At 54.0% G+C, this 18921-nt stretch overlaps 1 protein-coding gene and 1 pseudogene across 3 annotated transcripts in view, besides 2 other annotated features; both read right to left on the bottom strand.

Moving 5' to 3' along the window:
* Positions 1-12600, bottom strand: part of HIC2 (HIC ZBTB transcriptional repressor 2) — a 34093-nt gene extending 21493 nt beyond the window's left edge. For 2 of the 3 annotated variants that reach the window (NM_015094.3, XM_017028669.3), the window contains exon 1: positions 12411-12600. The gene's annotated coding sequence lies outside the window, so the exon portion shown is untranslated. Of the gene's footprint in view, positions 1-9209; positions 9304-12410 lie in introns of those variants that run through there. The other variant, XM_011530008.4, reaches the window with a different exon arrangement.
* Positions 5838-6399: an enhancer, noted in NCBI's record as "H3K4me1 hESC enhancer chr22:21777861-21778422 (GRCh37/hg19 assembly coordinates)". NCBI's record gives its function as "activates a minimal SCP1, AML or CMV promoter by ChIP-STARR-seq in naive H9 embryonic stem cells {active_cell/tissue: H9 hESC(naive)}" and the evidence as "EXISTENCE:reporter gene assay evidence [ECO:0000049][PMID:30033119]".
* Positions 7550-8368: an enhancer, noted in NCBI's record as "H3K4me1 hESC enhancer chr22:21775892-21776710 (GRCh37/hg19 assembly coordinates)". NCBI's record gives its function as "activates a minimal SCP1, AML or CMV promoter by ChIP-STARR-seq in naive H9 embryonic stem cells {active_cell/tissue: H9 hESC(naive)}" and the evidence as "EXISTENCE:reporter gene assay evidence [ECO:0000049][PMID:30033119]".
* A 6238-nt stretch (positions 12601-18838) lies between the features above and the next one.
* LOC124905164 (uncharacterized) lies at positions 18839-18921 on the bottom strand (annotated as a pseudogene).

Raw genomic sequence — 18921 nt, 5'->3', positions numbered from 1 at the left:
ACAGGAGAAAGAAGGGCAGAATCAGAGCCACTCTAAGTGAAAATATCAGCGTTTAGAACACAATCACCCCCCTGCAACCCCTCCAGCCAACCCTCGCCTAGTCCCTGTACCCTCCAATTCAGAGTCCAATAACCCTGAGTTATCTTTCTCAACACCCATCTCATCAAGCCACTCCCCTGCTTAAAGCTTTCAATGGGCCGGGCATGGTGGCTCACACCTTTAATCCCAGCACTTTGGGAGGCCCAGGCGGGCAGATCATCTGATGTCTGGAGTTTGAGACCAGCCTGACCAACATGGAGAAACCCCATCTCTATTAAAAATACAAAATTAGCTGGGCATGGTGGCGCATGCCTGTAATCCCAGCTACTCAGGAGGCTGAGGCAGGAGAATCACTTGAACCCGGGAGGAGGAAGTTGCAGTGAGCCAAGATCGCGCCATTGCACTCCAGCCTGGGCAACAAGAGTGAAACTCTATCTCAAAATACAAAAAAAAAAAATTAAAAAAATAAATAAAGCTTTCAATAAATTCCTGATGCCTAGCATAAAGTCCATGCTCAGGCCTGGCATGCAAAGCACTTCCCACAGGGGCATCAAGCCCACCTCATCCCTTCCACAGACACACCTGAGAGCTCCTGCAGGCCGTGCCCTACTCTGGGAGGAGCCTGCCCCCTCACGACTCCCTCCTCTGTGAAGCCAGAACTGCCTCTGTTGTCCCCCCGCTTCCAACGTCAGCACCAGCTGCCAAGCTGCTTCCCTCCTGCCTACCCCCACCACCCCATAGACCAGTACCCAAAGTTAGACCCTGTGTCCCAAGCAGCCACAGCAGCAGGCATGCAGCAGGCACTCATAAACATTCATTAGGTGAGCAAATGCTGGTCAGACCCAATGCTGAGAAGAGACAGAGTGAAACAACATGTGAAAGATAAGGAGGCACGTGGGGAAGATGGAAATGTCCAGTACCCTCCTTGCCACTGGTTCTAAAATTGTGTTGTTTACATTCTTAAATAGTCAGGGCTCCTAACGAGCATCTGCTTATGTGGCTTCTCTATTACTGTTTTGTGGGGTTTTTTCTGAGACAGGGTCCTGCTCTGTCACCCAAGCTGAAGTGCGGTGGTACAATCATAGCTCACTGCAACCTCGAACTCCTGGCTTCAAGCCATCCTGCAGCCTCAGCCTCCCAAAGTGCTGGGATTACAGGTGTGAGCCACTGCATCTGGGCTGTTGCTGTATTTGATGTTACCATGTACTACAACAGTGCCCTCTTATTCAGTTTTTTTTTTTTTTTTTCTGAGACGGAGTCTCGCTCTGTGGCCCAGGCTGGAGTGCAGTGGCGTGATCTCGGCTCACTGCAAGCTCCGCCTCCCGGGTTCACGCCATTCTCCTGCCTCGGCCTCCCGAGTATCTGGGACTACAAGCGCCCGCCACCGCGCCTGGCTAATTTCTTTTTGTATTTTTAGTAGAGACGGGGTTTCACCGTGTTAGCCAGGATGGTCTCGATCTCCTGACCTCGTGATCTGCCGCCTCAGCCTCCCAAAGTGCTGAGATTACAGGCGTGAGCCACCGTGCCCGGCCAAAAAAATTTTTTTTAAAGGCTGAGCACAGTGGCTCACGCCTGTAGTCCCAGCACTTTGGGAGGCTGAGGTAGGTGGATCACTTGAGGTCTGGAGTTCGAGACCAGCCTGGCCAACATGGTGAAACCCCATCTCTACTAAAAATACAAAAAATTAGCCAAGCGTGGTGGCAGGTGCCTGTAATCCCAACTACTTGGGAGGCTGAAGCAGGAGAATGGCTTTACCCCAGGGGAGGGTGTGGGGTGGAGGTTGCAGTGAGCCAAGATTGTGCCATTGCATTCCAGCCTGGGCAACAAGAGCGAAACTCTGTCTTAAAAAAAAAAATAGGCTGGACGCAGTGGCTCATGCCTGTAATCCTAGCACTTTGGGAGGCCGACGCGGGTGGATCACCTGAGGTCAGGAGTTTGAGACCAGCCTGCCCAACAGGGTGAAATACAAAAATTAGCCAAATGTGTTGGTGCATGCCTGTAATCCCAGCTACTGGGGAGGCTGAGGCAGGAGAATCACTTGAACCTGGGGGAAGCAGAGGTTGCAGTGAGCCAAGATCACGCCATTGCACTCCAGCCTGGACAAGAGCAAAACTCCCTCTCAAAAAAAAAAAACAACAACATTTAAAAAAATACAAAAATTAGCTGGGCGTGGTGACAGGTGCCTGTAATCCCAGCTACTCAGGAGGCTGAGGCAGCAGAATCCCTTGAACCCAGGAGACGGAGGTTGCAGTAAGGAGAGATTGTGCCACTGCACTCCAGCCTGGGTGATAAGAGTGAGACTCTATCCGAAAAACAAAACAAAAAAAGGGCTGGGCACGGTAGTTCACACTTGCAATCCCAGCACTCTGGGAGGCCGAGGCGGGCGGATCACGAGGTCAAGAGATCCACACCATCCTGGCCAACAGGTGAAACCCCATCTCTACTAAAAAATATATATATACATACAAAAATTAGCTAGGTGTGGTGGCGCGCACCTGTAGTCCCAGCTAGCTAGAAGGCCGAGGCAGGCAAATCACTTGAACCCGGGAGGTGGGGGTTGCAGTGAGCAGAGATCGCGCCACTGCACTCTAGCCTGGCGACAGAGCGAGACTGTCTCAAAAAAAAAAAAAAGAAAAGAAAAGAAAAAAAGAAGGATAGCATTGCTTTACACTTTTATAAATCTCTTTAATGTCTAGCCTAATAGAAGAAGCTGGATTCTCATATCTCCTGCATTCAGTCTGTTAGGATATGCGGTTTTGATTAAAGTCTTTAAAGAAATTTGGCCTTACACAGAAAGAAGGAAGGAGTATTTTAATAACTTTTTCAGAAAACTGTCTATTCTTCATTGATATTACACTAAAGCTCGACAAATGAGTTTCTTAAAAGTTGCTATGGGCCAGGCGCGGTGGCTCACGCCTGCAATCCCAGCACTTCGGGAGGCTGAGGCAGGTGGATCACTTGAGGTCAGGAGTTCAAGACCAGTCTCGCTAACGTGGTGAAATCCCGTCTCTACTAAAAATACAAAAATTAGCCAGGTGTGGTGGCAAGCGCCTGTAATCCCAGCTACTCAGGAGGCTGAAGCAGGAGAATTGCGCAACTGCACTCCAGACTAGCAACAGAGCAAGACTCCGCTTCAAGGAAAAACATAAATAAAAGTTGCTATGTAGGCCAGGTACGGTGGCTCACATCTGTAATCCCAGCACTTTGGGAGGCTGAGGTGGGCGATCACAAGGTCAGGAGTTTGAGACCAGCCTGACCAACATGGAGATACCCAGTCTCTACTAAAAATACAAAAATTAGCCGGGTGTGGTGGCACGTGCCTATAATCTCAGCTACTTGGGAGGCTGAGGCAATAGAATTGCTTGAACCCGGGAAGCAGAGGTTGCAGTGACCCAAGATCGTGCCACTGTACTCCAGCCTGGGCAACAGAGACTCCATCTCAAAAAAAAAAAAACAAAGTTGCTATGTAGGCTGGGCACAGTGGCTCAACACCTGTAATCCCAACACTTTAGGAGGTCGTGGTAGGAGGACTGCCTGAGCCTAGGAGTTCAAGACCAGGAAGATCCCATCTCTGGAAAAAAAAAAAAAAAAAAATAGCTGGCTGTGGTGGCGCATGACTGTGGTCCTAACTACTCGGGAGGCTTATGCAGGAGGATCATTTGAGCCCAGAAGGTGAGGCTGCACTGAGCCGTGATTACATCATCACTGCACTCCAGCCTAGGCAACTGAGGGAGACCACATCGCCAAAAAAAAATTAAAAATAAAAAAAAAATTGTAAAGCCTCATGCCGGGCATGGTGGCTAATACCTGTAATCCCAGCACTTCCGGAGGCCAGGGCGGGTGGATCACCTGAGGTCAGGAGTTCAAGACCAGCCTGGCCAACATGGCGAAACCCAGACTTTATTAAAACTAGACAAAATTACACCAGGCGCGGTGGCTAATGCCTGTAATCCCAGCACTTCGGGAGGCTGAGGCGGGCGGATCACGAGGTCAGAAGTTCGAGACCAGCCTGACCAACATGGTGAAACCCCATCTCTACTAAAAATGCAAAAATTAGCTGGGCATGGAGGCGCATGCCTGTAATCCCAGCTACTCGGGAGGCTGAGGCAGGAGAATCGCTTGAACCCAGGAGGCGGAGGTTGCAGTGAGCGAGATCCCACCACTGCACTCCAGCCTGGGCGACAGGGAAAGACTCCGTCTCAAAAAAAAAAAAAAAAGAAAAAATTAACCAGGCGTGGTGGCAGGCGCCTGTAATCCCAGCTACTCGGGAGGCTGGGGTAGGAGAATCGCTTGAACCCAGGAGGCGGAGGTTGCAGTCAGCGAGATCGCACCACTGCACTCCAGCCTGGGCGACAGGGCAAGACTCCGTCTCAAAAAAAAAAAAAAAAAGAAAAAATTAACCAGGCGTGGTGGCGGGTGCCTGTAATCCCAGTTACTCGGGAGGCTGAGGCACGAGAATGACTTGAACCCAGGAGGTGGAGGTTGCAGTGAACTGAGATTGCGCCACTGCACTCCAGCCTAGGCAACAGCGAGACTCCATCTCAAAAAAAAAAAGCCTCATGCATCCTTCCTATTTCATCACACAGAAAAGTAAAAATATGTGTAATTAAAGGTCTAGATTTAATACTCAGTCATCTGTACTGCCTCCCCTGGACATGTGTAGAACTGGTGGGTCTCAGCCCCCAGTGCTGGCTAACAGTGGGGAACACAACTCTGGCAGTGCAAGTGTCCACCCAGGGCAGAGGCCAGTGATTTTTTTTTTTTTTAGATGGAGTCTCGCTCTGTCACCCAGGCTGGAGTGCAGTGGCAAAATCTTGGCTCACTGCAACCTCCGCCTCCCAGGTTCAAGCCATTCTCCTGCCTCAGCCTCCTGAGTAGCTGGGACTACAGGCGTGCGCCACCACACCCAGCTAATTTTTGTATTTTTAGGAGAGGCGGGGTTTCACCATGTTGGCCAGGCTGATCTGGAACTCCCAACCTCAGGTGATCCGCCCGCCTTGGCCTCCTAAAGTGCTGGGATTACAGGCGTGGGCCACCGCATCTGACCTTGTAACTTCTAAATATACTGAAAAAGGTATCGGGGACCCTCAGGGTCTGCAAACAACTTTGAGAATAGCTGACAAGCACTGCCTCAAATATTTCTAACAACTCGTTTACAGGCAAGGAGAATGAGGCCTGGAGAGCTTAAGAGACTGGCCCACGGAGGAAGCAGGAGTCATCTTTCCACAAAACTACACTTCCCCAAAAGCTGAACTCTTGGACAAGGAGCCCACTGCCAAACCTAAGAGTAACAAATTTCAGCAAATAAAAGGAAGTGCCATTTCCAATGGCATCCTCGAATACTCTAAGAGGTGGGGCTGGCAGAATCCATCAATAGGCCTCCAGAGGCCTGCTACTAAGAGCCAGCAACGCTGCTGAAAGCGGCACTGCCTCTGCAGGCTGTGTGACCAGGACCCGGCGGGGGCCCTGCACCTGGAAGCAGAGGGGGTCGGTGGGGGAGGGGTGCTACCAGGAAGCAAGATGTGCATGCTGCCTGCTGGGGGCATGAAGTCAAAGTCCCCTCCTGCCCAAAGTGGCTAGGCCAGCCCTAGGCTGCCTTATCAGCATCAACACATGCCTGGAATGTGGGACTTTGGCAACAACCCTCTCCCTTCGGCCAGCACGGGGCTGACGCCTGGTCCCTGGGCTCTGGTTCACAGTCAGAGGACAACCACCTTGAAGCACCAGAACCCGCACCCCCAGCCCATCTACCAGAAGACAATCTACCAAGAGTCACCGAGAGGAGCTATCCTGCCTGTGTCCCCACACCACCAAGGGCCATGTCTGAGCACCTCGTTTGTCCACACTCAGAGAATCTCAAGAGCTCGGCTCTGGTCCCTGCAACGTCCAGACCATCCCCCACATGGCTCTCCTGGAGGTGTTCGGCAAAGGCACAGGCTGCCGTGGGGCAGAAGATTCCCACATACCAGACAGTAAGGAGCTGCGTGTGACTGGAAGGATGAGGACGACCCAGAGAACGCTCTCTGGCCCCTGGTCCTTGGGGAGGAATGGGGGACCTGCAGGGGACCACCTTCCCACTCTGGGAGCCAGATTCCCTGGCTTTGTCCAGAGCAGCCAACCCACTACCCCACTCAAAATGAACACCTCAGCTGCCCTCCAGCCCAAGCACTGCGCAGAGTAAGGAGTCCTCACTCACAAATGTGTCCGAGGCTTTCACACACTTCACCTGGAGCTTCGCCACTCACTTCTTAGATGTACGACTCTAACTTCTCTGAGCCACTTGTACAACGAGGACTGACAAGATGATGAGGACCACACCGGTGTGTTCTGACAACTGAACCGGGCATAGAATGCCCACTGCCAGGCTGAGCCCAGGAACGAGCCCAGGATGAGTGCTTACCCTCTTCACCACTACCTTCCTAGCCTTCTGTCAGAACTCCGTGGGGACCATCCTCTTCCCATCTTCTAAGCCAAGTACCCTGGTACAAGCCAGACAGAAACTATAATAGCAGCTGCTTCCATAAAGGGGAAGGGCCATGGGGTCCCGGACAGGGCTGGGGTGAAGGGGCGCAAGACCTAGGGCAGGAATCCACCCCCAGATCACTCACTCAGGACAGGACCACCTGGACCCAGCTACCAAGATGTGCACCACCCCCTTCCTTCTGAGCCCCTTTTCCCATCTCCTCTACTGCCCCTGGCCAGGTTGCTGTCCCACCTCTAAGAGGCAAGATTTCCTACCCAGGATGCTGACCAAAACCACACCCAGGGGCCTACCCGTCCCCTCACATGATAGGCTGCTCCTAGCTGGCAGGAGCCGTCTTATAGCCTCTCTCCCTCAAATACAAACAAAACCCCAGAACAACCTATTGTTCTGTTCCAGCAAAGGGGGCCAGGCCCAGCCAGGCCCTACCTGAAGCTCTCTGTCTCCCGTCCCCCTTCAGTCCCCTCCCACTCGTCCTTCTCTGCCCCTATTAGTGGCCTCATATACCTTGTCCAGATAACACAGCCCAAGAAACCAACCTCAGGGACAAATCTCTTCTCTTCCAGGGAGAAGAAGACAGAGGTCCCAGGAGTCCCAGGGGCCCCCATTACTGGCCACCTCCGCTCAACCCAAACTGCACTATGTGAGGTCCCGCCAGACTACATACAGGCCAACGAGAGCCCAAGAATGCAGCCAGGAAACCAGGCCAGGCAGACTCCAAAAGCCCGTGCTACGGGGTCAGTAGGACCCGCCTACAGCTGAGGGCTATAGGCAGCTCTCCAGAGGACCTCCCAGGAGAAGCCAGCAGTGCACATGGGCTAGGTTCCTCCTGCTGTTCACCCTCTGTGCCCAGTAACTACCCAGGAACAGGCATGACTGACTCTGCCAACTCATTCACTGGGTAACCGCTGACCCCACCAGGCCCTCGGAGTAAAGCAGTTAGTGAGAACCGCAGGTAAAAGCGCGGGCTACTCATCCCTCCGCCTGTGGATTCTATTATCAACAAAGATGCATCACCTGCTAGAAGAGCGGTTCTCAAACTTGGCTGCACATCAGGTTCACTTCAAAAGCTTCAGGAAAAGCTAGTGCCTTGGGCCCACCCCAGAGACAGGTATAGCTCAAGGTGAGAACCAGAGCACCAGCAGGCAGGCCTCTGCCAGGCAGCATGGGCAACGTGTGCTGGGTGAATGTGCGGCCTGCACTCATCACCCAGAAGAGCCCCACTGTGTCCACACAAGGACAGGCCACCGAAGTCCCAGTCCCCACTCTCCCTTCTCACTTACTTTGTGAATGAGAGCTCACCAACAGTTTACCGTCTTCCGAGTGCTGCGGCCTCACCGCCCGACCCGCAGCAGGGGTGAGGGCTTGCAAAGGCCATGCAACAGATCCTCCCCCTCAAAGGGGCTCAGGCCTCAGTGTGGTAATGGGAGCGGCCCCTTCCCACACTTGTCAGAGAACCCACCCACCCGGTGGAATGAAGCCGAAGCCCAAGCCGCAGGGCAACAGCCCGGGACGGCAGGGGACAAGTCTGTACAGCAGCCACACCCCTGCCAGAGCCAGGAGCTCTTCCATTTCCACAGCAGGCCAACTCTCACCTGGAAGCACCCACCTAACCAAACCCAATCCCTGCCTTCTTTTAGTCACACTGGGAACTGCCACAGGAAGGCTGGGGACTCCACATACTCCCTCCTCACCACACCCCATGTGTGATCACCCTTAAACAGAAAACATGCACCTAAGATCCTACGATGCGCTGCCCACCTCACAAAAAACCGGTGCCTCTAGGTAAGAGGCACCTAGCTGACCCATCCCTGTTCCCTCTCACCATTAGAAGGACCCCCAAGTCCCCCTGTTCTAACACCGAGGCTGCACTCCCACTCTCCACCCACTAACATTACCATAAAAAATAAATTGAATAGTTAGAAGGAGGGGCTCCCCAAAGCCTGGCCACCTTCCCGAGGGTCCCAAGCAGTTTCTTGGAGTCCCTCTCCCCACTCAGTCCCGCCACACCCCTCTCAGGCAGTCTGGCCCTTCCCTCCTGAACTTTGGCGGGCTGGAACCAGCTCCCAGCCTCGCCTCCCTTATCAAGCTCACTGGGGGCCCACACAGAGCTCCCATCCCCACCAGCTTTTCTCGCTTTGCCACTCCCAGCTAAAACTGGGCTCAAGGCAAGCAAGCCTGCAGTCCCTCAGTCCCTCGGGGCCCAGCCCCTCCTCAGAGCCCTCCCCCAGCCCAGGTCCCTAACCCTTAGGGCAAGGCCCCTCCCAGCAGGAAGCGAACCCTGGCGGTGCCAGGCAGAGTCAAACTGGAAGGGCTGGTTCAGAAGCCCCTAAATGGGAGCCAGGACCTCTCTTAGGGAGGGGGCTTTCAGCCCCATCCTCCCTAGTGCGATCTCAGATCTCTCCAGACACCACACTATATGGGCCTCCACAGGCGGTGGAGTCAAAGGCATTTACCCTCCAGCCCCCAGCAAGCTACTTAACTTCCAAAAGCAGCTCCTTCCCTCCTCCAGAGGAGAACGGGCCGCGTGCTGAACTGCAAGCGCCTCTATCACCCCGCCCAGGCAAGTCTGTGAGCACCAGAAAGCAGGGGCCAACATGACTTGGTCTAAACCAAGGGGGCCAGGCACTGACTTTGCGCTCAGAAAATGTGGCGGAATGAATAAAAAGCTTGAAAAAGAGCCACATACATGCCTGGCTGGCAGTGGGGTCTCCCAAGCGGGCTTCACAGCTCACACAGTACCCGTGGGTCCGCGTCCTCAGTGCTCTCCAGCTGTCTCCACTGCCACCCTCTACCCTACCACTGCCTTTTAAAACCCAGTAGCAGTCACTTCCTGGTTAAAACCCCTCCCCTCCAGGCCAACCCCAACCCACATGGCATCCAGGGTTCTCAGCCAGCCCACGGCCGGCTCCTCCCACGCCACCGCTATGCCCTCTGCGCTCCGCTAGATGCCAGCCCTTATCACCCCATCTTATAATCATTTGTTGAGTGTCTGCCTTCCCTAGGCTGAGCTCCAGAAAACAGCGATACATGAATGTAAACTCCAGTTCTGTTCCCATTGTAGAAACCCGGCAGGAGAGTCAATCACTGCTCAAGGTCATGACGGGAGTAAATGGCAGAGCCAGCAATGCACTACAGACTTTGCGACCGACCAAGTCCAGTTCCCCTCTCACTGCCCCACAGGGGTCCGTCCTAGGCCAGGCTCGGAGGAGACAAGAAGGGAGGAACCCAATGTGTTCTTTCTTCCCGCGGTGAAAGCTGCCTCCCAGGCCAGCAAGAGCAGCCCAGAAGAAGTGCCCCACTCTCCCAGGGATCAGGTACTGGGGGCAGCGGGCAGGACAAGGTATGGGGTGGGGCTGACTGCTCCAGGCCAACAGACCAAGCAATAAGGTTGGAACCACAAGTCCCCTGGGTAAACTGAACTTTATTCCTTCCTCACGGCTCTCACTCTCCAGAACTGCCCCGCCAGCTCTTCTCCAGGGGCTGGCTGCTGATTAAATGGCACTTCCCCACCCCTCAGATCTGACCCCGCAAACAATAAGGACTTGAGGGGAGGCGGCAGGCTATCAGCTCAATAATGCAAAACCCTGTTGCTCCTCGTCCACAACAGCTGACTTCAAGTGGATGGGAGGCTGCGCTTATTAACAAAATGAGAAATCTGATCTACGGAAAGAAAACACTACGTGAGGATTAATCTGCGACTGCAGCTTGTGGAGAAGGCTGGGCTGCTGGCCAAGACCAAGGATCGAGGATGGGATCGTGCCTACCTGTCCCCAGAGCAGGTATCATGCAGCACAACAGGACTCATCACCCCTGCCCCACCTGCGCCTTCTCTTCTCCTTCCAGCAACTTCGACAATCATTTCGGTTTTGCTTTAATTAAAGGCCTGACTCCCTCGGGCTGCTTCTTCCTCTACACAGAGGCAGCAACCAGAGGGAGATTTTTCTTTTCAGGAATCGGTCGTAAAAACTCAGTGACTAATCTACAAGTTCCAACAACTGGCAGAAAAACACCGCAGGGAGAGGTTGCTGGGCACACAGCAGCACTCAGAGCCAACTGACCAGAGAAGCTGGGCCACAGGCACTCTACTACAACCTCCCTCCCCCAGCCCGACACTGGCCTGCCGACCCACCTGAGAGCTCTGACCTCCCAAGGCAGGCAGCTGGGGAGCCTCTTCCCAGCCTTCCAAGTCTACTGCTCGTCCTGTGGGACCCAGAGATCTTCACAGTCTCAATGGCACAAGACGGAACGTTCACTTCCAGGCAACAATCCTGCGCCACAGGACTCAGTTCAGCCCCCAAGTATCAGACTCCCGGCCCTGTTCTTGGTGTTCAGAGCCCACTAAACCAGCAGTCTTGCCACACAGCTTTGTCTCCAGAGGCCAGCTCATCTGCTTTTTTTCACACTACTCCAGCAACCCTGCTCCACCAAGCACGCACACTCTCCTTGACACAGGGCTCCAGACCAACCACATGGCCTGTGCTCCTGAAAATGCCTGCCTGAAGGCCCAGGGAGTCCAGACACTGGCAGATGAGAATGGACGAAAAGAAGCCAAGCCAGAAGCCAGGAAGCAATAAATGCTAGACCCAGAAAGGCCTTAGGTTTGAGTGACCCAGCTCCATCCCTCCATCCTGGATCCTTGGAGGACAGCCCCAAGTTCAGCCTAGGAGCTCCCAAGGCCCCTCCACTACCTGCCAGCTCTCCGACAGCACAAGAGACACAGCAATCCCACATCAGTCAACAACCCACCGCCACAGGATTCCTAGGGGCAAGGCTCTGCCCCTCCCCCCAGCACATATGTCAGAGGGGTGGCTTCCCTGGGTTACACCCCTCCTGCTGTTGGGGGAGTGGGGGGTCGGGGAACACAGCTTTCCAGATGTGCTTGGCAACTCCTACTAGAAAAGACTAGGGGTGCGGGGGACAGGAGAAGACATGGATAAATAACTTTAACACCGCTCCAACCCATCCGGCTCAGCACTGGGCTCCCTTACACAGGCAGTCCCAGGCAGTTCTGGGTGGGGCCGTTGGGAGCATTATCTGGCCTCATTCCCTCCTCTCAGCAAGTCACTGCCCCCCAGGGAGAGGCATTCCCCCCCACCCCCCCCAACCACGCACACACCCAGGCCTGTGTGAATATGAACCATCTTGGAAGATAAACAGAGAGTGACAAGCTGGGGCCCCTCAGCCCCCTCCCTCAGCCAGCCGGTCCCTTCCCCCTGAAAGCCGACCCCCTCCCCCAAGCCCATCTCTCTTCCTGCCAAGCGGCTGCCTACAGGAGAGGTCTGGGGGCAGGGCAGCGAGCCCACCAGCCGCAGAGCCCGGCCCTCTGGGAGCGGCCCCTCCAGGCCCGCCCCTGCCCCTGCCGTGGCCAGTCTTCCCGCGGGGAGGAGGCAAGAGGAGAGGAGACCGCAGACGGTGCAGGACCGCAGTCCTGGAAATCGCAAAATCCTCTAGCGAGGGGGCGAACGCGGGCGCAGGGCCGTTTGCATAATGGGAGCCCTCCCGCCTGTCAGGCAGCGCAGCTCGCCCGACGCTGTTCGGATTAGATTGCTAATGAAAAGGCACAAAGAGCCGGCGCCCGCTCGCCCGCCGACCCCCGCTCCGCAGACCCGCGCCGCCTGGGCCTGGCGCGGCCCGGTGGGCTTTGTGCCCCGGGTGCCCCACCGCCCGCGCCCCTCCGGGCATCTGGCCCACAAAGCCCGGGCCTGCCAGGGGTCCCGCGTGCGCCCCAGCCCAGGCCCGCCAGACGCTAGCGCGTCCCCCACGCGCGCAGTCCCACGTCGCCCGGGCGCGCGCGCGTCCACGCCCCTCTCCCCGGGGACGCGCCCAGCCCGCGGCCCCGGCCCCCGCCCGCTCCCCGCGCCCCCCGCCCCACAAGGCCGCCCCTCACCTCGTGTGCGTCGGCGGCGGCGCTCCGCCCGCCGGCCGGCCGGCCCTACCAGCGGCCCTTGTCCTCAGCGCCCGGCTCGCGCCGCACGCGCCCGCCCCGTCCGCCTGCCGCCAGCCCGGCTCGGCTCCCCGCCTAGCGCGCCCCGAGCGCCGCTCACAGCCGCCCGCCCAGCGCCATCTTGGAAGCTTGTGACGTCGGCGCCGCCCGCTCACCCCTGACCCACATCTGAATGGGCGAGCGGCGGGGCGGGGACAGGGGGCAGCTGGGGGCGTGGCCTGTGAACAGGGGCGGGGCCTGCGGGGGCGGGGCCGGGCCGGACAGCGGTCCCAGCACTAGGCGGGGCGGGCTGCCGGGGTCCGGCGCCGTGGGGGAGGGGTGCGCGGGAGGAGCCGGGGACCCAGACCCCGGACATCTAACCGGACTCCGACCTCAAGCGCCAGGGCAGGACCGCGACCTCGCCCCTGAAATACCCGGACCGCATACCGGCCCCCGGGACAGGGACCCTGGCCCCCCCCGACAGGCTGACGCCCACCCCCTCAAACTCTGGTGGACTTACCCCCTTTTAGCCCTACCCTGACCCCTAGGAGCCCCGAATTAGGGACCTCTATCGGCCTACGCGCCCCCTCCCCGACCCCTTTGCGACCCCTGCTCGACGCTCCCTGCGGTTGCCCGAGGCTCAAAGGCGCAGCCAGCAGTGACTGCAAGCTCGGGGGTCTGGGCTCCTGGGGAAGCCCGGGCTGGTTGGGTGCAAAAGAGAAGGGGCGCCCCTCCCGTGACCCCAGCGCCCCTCGGGCCCCCGCGGGCGCACCCCCGCGAACCCTACCTGCTCCGAGGGCGCGGAGGACCCAGCACGCTGCGCTCAGCCAGCCCCTTCCGGTGGCCGCAGCCCCTCGCAGGCCCCAGGGGTCAAGCGCCTGCCCGAGCCGGCCCACCAGGACCCGGGCTCCCGGCCGCCATGCAGATAGCCTTCCCAGGGGCTGGGCTGGCCTGAGCCGCCACTGCTTCTCTAGGGAGCTAGTTAATGGACCGCTCTCTACTTTGAACACCAAACAAAGGAACACACCACTATCGAGGTCGCCCAAGTCCAAGAGGAGCCCAGGTCTGCCTTACAGGGAAGTTGTGCCCCAGCTCCAGTCAAGATCAAAAACCAGTTTCAATAACCCTTCGCCAAGCTGATGATGCAACCTTTCTTTCCTAATGGATGTATAGGTTTAATGTCATCCTAACAACATTTCTTAGACTTCACAAAATTCTAAGTTCACCTGGAAAAATAAATAGCCGAAAACAGCTATGGTTTTCCCCCCTTGGGAACAAAAGCAGGCATGAGGGTAGACTTGCCCTAACAGATATCAAAACAAATTGTAAAGCTACCGCAGGCATTTCAGTGTGGTACAGAACAGGAAATAGAATAGAAAGCCTAGAAACATCCTAGAAATGGTAAGAACACAATAGATGAAAAAGGAAATATCAAACATCTGTGGAAAAAAAAGAGCTATCAAACATCCCTGAAGAAGAACAAGAATATTCCACAAATAGAGCCTAGCAGAGGACTCACTATTTGAAGGAACGACTGAAAAAAAAAGTCAACCATTCTACTAACCCAAGACATATAAATTAAAACTATAGGCCGGGCGCGGTGGCTCACGCCTGTAATCCCAGCACTTTGGGAGGCCAAGGCGGGCGGATCACGAGGTCAGGAGATCGAGACCATCCTGGCTAACACGGTGACACCCCGTCTGTACTAAAAATACAAAAAATTAGCCAGGCGAGGTGGCGGGCGCTTGTAGTCCCAGCTACTCGGGAGGCTGAGGCAGGAGAATGGCGTGAACCCCGGGGGGCGGAGCCTGCAGTGAGCCGAGATCGTGCCACTGCACTCCAACCTGGGCGACAGCGAGACTCCGTCTCAAAAAAATAAATAAATAAATAAAATAAAACTATAAGAAGCTGGGTTTTCTCCTAAACAAATTAAAAATCAGTTTCAAGTGATAACCTTCAAACACAAGGTCTGATAGGTAATCACTCTCATATACTTTTGGAAGCACATAAATCACCTCAAAATTCCTGGACATGAGTTTGGCGGTATGAGCCAAAAGTTGTTTTTTTGGGGTTCTTTTGTCTTTTTTTGTTTTTTGGAGACTCGGAGTCTCACTCTGTTGCCCAGGCTGGAGTGTAGCCTCAAACTCCTGGGATCAAGTGATCCTCCTGCCTTCCAAAGTGCTGGGATTACAGGCATAAGCCAACGCACCTGGCCCCAAAAATATTTTAAAATAATTATACCCTCTCAGACCAGTATTCCAGGATTCTGTTCTGGGGAAATTAGCCACGTTTGCAGACCACGTACTTATTATCTGTCTCTCTACCCATAAGTAAGTTTGTACCTGTAAGTTTGGAACCCATGCCTAGGAGCACACCTGAGACAACAGGCATTCCACGGTCCCTTGTTTCATCTGCATTTGAAAACTAATGTGGCTGGCTCATGCCTGTAATCCCAACACTTTGGGAGGCCAAGGCCGGCAGATCGCCTGAGGTCAGGACTTTGAGACCACCCTGGCCAACATGGTGAAACCCCGTCTCTACTAAAAATACAAAAATTAGCCGGATATCGAGGTGCATGCCTGTAGTCCCAATTACTCGGGAGGCTGAGACAGGAGAATTGCTTGAATCTGGGAGGCTGAGGTTGCAGTGAGCTGAGATCATGCCATGACACTCCAGCCTGGGCAACAGAGGGAGACTCGGTCTCAAAAAACAACAAAAAAGATAACTAATATATGATAATATTTTTTAAGTGTCATGTATAATAGTGAAAGAAAGCATATACAGGCGGTGGCTCACGCCTGTAATCCCAGCACTTTGGGAGGCTGAGGCGGGAGGATCACCTGAGGTCAGGAGTTTGAGACCAGCCTGGCCAACATGGTAAAACCCCGTCTCTACTGAAAATACAAAATTAGCTGGGCATGGTGGCGTATGCCTGTAATCCCAGCTACTTGAGAGGCTGAGGCAGGAGAATTGCTTGAACTCCAGAGGCGGAGGTTGCAGTGAGCTGAGATCCTGCCATTGCACTCCAGCCTGGGCAACAGAGCAAGACTCCGTATCAAAAAAAAAAAAAGAAAAAAGCATATACAAATTTCTCACAATGGGGTTAAATAGTCCACATAATGGAATGTAGATTAGGCCAGGAGTAGTGGCTCATGCCTGTAATCCCAACACTTTGGGAGGCCGAGGCGGGCAGATCACCTGAGGTCGGGAGTTCGAGACCAGCCTGACCATTATGGTGAAACCCCGTCCCTACTAAAAATACGAAAAGTTAGCTGGGCGTGATTGCGCATGCCTGTAATCCCAGCTACTCGGGAGGCTGAGGTAGGAGACTTGCTTGAACCCGGGAGGCGGAGATTGCGGTGAGCTGAGATCGCACCATTGCACTCCAGCCTGGGCAACAAAAGTGAAACTCCGTCTCAAAAAAAAAATTAGCCAAGCATGGTGTCACATGCCTGTAGTCCCAGCCACTCAGCAGGCTGAGGCGCAGCACGAGAGTTGCTTGAACCTGGGAGGCAGAGGTTGCAGTGAGCCGAGGTGGTGCCGCTGCACTCCAGCCTGGGCGACAGAGTGGGACTCCATTTTAAAAAAATAAATAGGCCAGGCGCGGTGGCTCACGCCTGTAATCCCAGCACTTTGGGAGGCCCAGGCAGGTGGATCACGAGGTGAGGAGTTCAACACCAGCCTGGCCAAGATGGTGAAACCCCGTCTCTACTAAAAATACAAAAATTAGCCAGGCATGGTGACGGGCACCTGTAATCCCAGCTATTCGGGGGGCTGAGGCAGAGAATCGCTTGAACTCAGGAGGCGGAGGTTGCAGTGAGCCCAGATCACACCACTGCACTCCAGTCTGGGCGACAGAGTGAGACTCGGTCTCAGAAAATAAATAAATAAATTAATTAATTAAATTAATAGGATGGGCACGGTGGCTCACTCCTGTAATCCCAGCACTTTGGGAGGCCGAGGCGGGTGGATCACCCAAGGTCAGAAGTTTGAGACCTGCCTGGCCAACATGGTAAAACCCCGTCTCTACTAAAAATACAAGATTAGCCAGGCATGGTGACGTATGCCTGTAATCCCAGCTACTTGGGAGGCTGAGGCAGGAGAATTGCTTGAGCTCCAGAGGCGGAGGTTGCAGTGAGCTGAGATCCTGCCATTGCACTCCAGCCTGGGTGACAAGAGTGAAACTCCGTCTCCAATAATAATAATAATAATAATAATAATAATAAATAAGTAAATTTTTAATTAAAAAATAAAATTTTTATTTATTTATTTATTTATTTTTTGAGACAGAGTCTCACTCTGTCATCCAGGCTGGAGTGCAGTGGCATCATCTCAGCTTGCTGCAACCTCTGCCTCCCAGGTTCAAGCAATTCTCTGCCTCAGCCTCCTGAGTAGCTGGGATTACAGGCGCCCACCACCACACCCAGCTAATTTTTGTATTTTTACAAGAGGCTGGTCTGGACCTCTTGACCTCATGATCTACCCGCGTCGGCCTCCCAAAGTGCTGGGATTACAGGCGTGAGCCACTGCGCCCAGCCAAAAATAATTAAAAAAAAAAAAAAAAAGAAGAGGCCAGGTGCAGTGGCTCACGCCTGTAATCCCAGCACTTTGGAAGACTGAGGCAGGAGGATCACTTGAGGTCAGGAGTTCGATACCAGCCTGGCCAACATGGTGAAACCCCATCTCTACTAAAAATACACACAAAAATATTAGCCAGGCATGGTGGCACACCCCTGTAGTCCCAGCTACTCGGGGGACTGAGGCAGGAGGATCACTTGAACCCAGGAGGTGGACGTTTCAGTGAACCAAAATCACACCACTGCACACTCCAGCCTGGTCAACAGAGCTAGACCCTGTCTTAAAAAAAATTGTATTTTTTGTACAAAAAAATTAGCCGGGCCTGGTGGCAGATGCCTGTAGTCCCAGCTACTCAGGAGGCTGAGGCAGGAGAATGGCGTGAAAACCTGGGAGGCGGAGCTTGCAGTGAGCCAAGATCACGCCACTGCACTCCAGCCTGGGCGACAGAGCGAGATTCCGCCTCAAAAAAAAATTTTTTTTTTAATTGCATTTTTTAAATGCATGCAAAAATATTGATATATGGAAAAGCAACTGAAGAAAATAAATCAAAAATATTTACGGAGGTTCTCTCTGGAAGTTGGGAATTTTTTTTCTACACATGTATACTTTAGCGTGTGTGTTATTTTTATTTTATGAAAGTAACATTTCTAATCGGAACAATTCTAGAGATGCTGAAGCACATTTTATTTTTATTTTATTATTTATTTTTGAGACAGAGTCTAGCTCTGTTGCCCAGGCTGGAGCACAGTGGCGTGATTATGGCCCACTGCAGCCTCCACTTCCTAGGCTCAAGTGATTCTCCCAGCTGGGACTACAGGCATGCACCACCACACCCGGCTAATTTTTTATTTTCTGTAGAGACAGGGTCTCACTATGCTTCCCAGGCTGATCTCAAACTCCCAGACTCAAGCAATTCTCCCACCTCAGCCTCCCAAAGTGCTGGGATTACAAGCATGAGACACCATGCCTGGTAATTTTTTTTTTTTTTTTTTTGTGCAGATGGAGTCTCGCGCTGTCACCCAGGCTGGAGTGCAGAGGCGCGATCTCCGTTCATTGCAACCTCCGGCTCCCGGGTTCAAGCGATTCTCCTGCCTCGGCCTCCCAAGTAGCTGGGATTACAAGTGAGCACCGCCACACCAAGCTAATTTTTGTAGTTTTAGTAGAGATGGGGTTTCACCATGTTGCCAGGGTTGTCTCGATCTATTGACCTCGTGATCTGCCCACCTCGGCCTCCCAAAGTGCTGGGATTACCGGCGTGGGCCACCGTGCCCAGCCCATGCCCAGCAATTTTTTAAAGTTAAATTCTCCCTCCTCCTCCACCCTAATCAGTCCTTTCTGAAGTAACATTAACAGTTTAACTCTCTTCTCTGACATCAATATGTATCTACTCACCTTACAAAAAAGATCCTACTATTTTGAAATCATAGACATTTTTCTAGTTCATTTCCATAATTCATTCTTTTTTTTTTTTTTCATGTCAGACGGGTAATGTGCCTATGTCGTAACAAGATTTGAAGGTGGCGGCCGGGCGCGGTGGCTCACGCCTGTAATCGCAGCACTTTGGGAGGCCAAGGCGGGCGGATCACGAGTTCAGGAGATTGAGACCATCCTGGCTAACACAGCGAAACCCCATCTCTACTGAAAATACAAAAAAATTAGCCGGGCGTGGTGGCGGGTGCCTGTAGTCCCAGCTACTCAGGAGGCTGAGGCAGGAGAATGGCATGAACCCGGGAGGCGGAGCTTGCAGTGAGCCAAGATCGCGCCACTGCACTCCAGCCTGGGTGACGGAGCAAGACTCCCTCTTAAAAAAAAAAAAAAAAAATATTTGAAGGTGGCACATCTTACATGGGAACGTGTGTGAACACATAATCATCATGCTTATGAACTACAAAAGGAT

The sequence above is a fragment of the Homo sapiens genome, chromosome 22, assembly GCF_000001405.40.
Source record: "Homo sapiens chromosome 22, GRCh38.p14 Primary Assembly".
Taxonomy (NCBI): domain Eukaryota; kingdom Metazoa; phylum Chordata; class Mammalia; order Primates; family Hominidae; genus Homo; species Homo sapiens.
The sequence above is the reverse complement of the archived record's forward strand: the minus strand, read 5'-3'. Positions and strand labels throughout refer to the sequence as shown.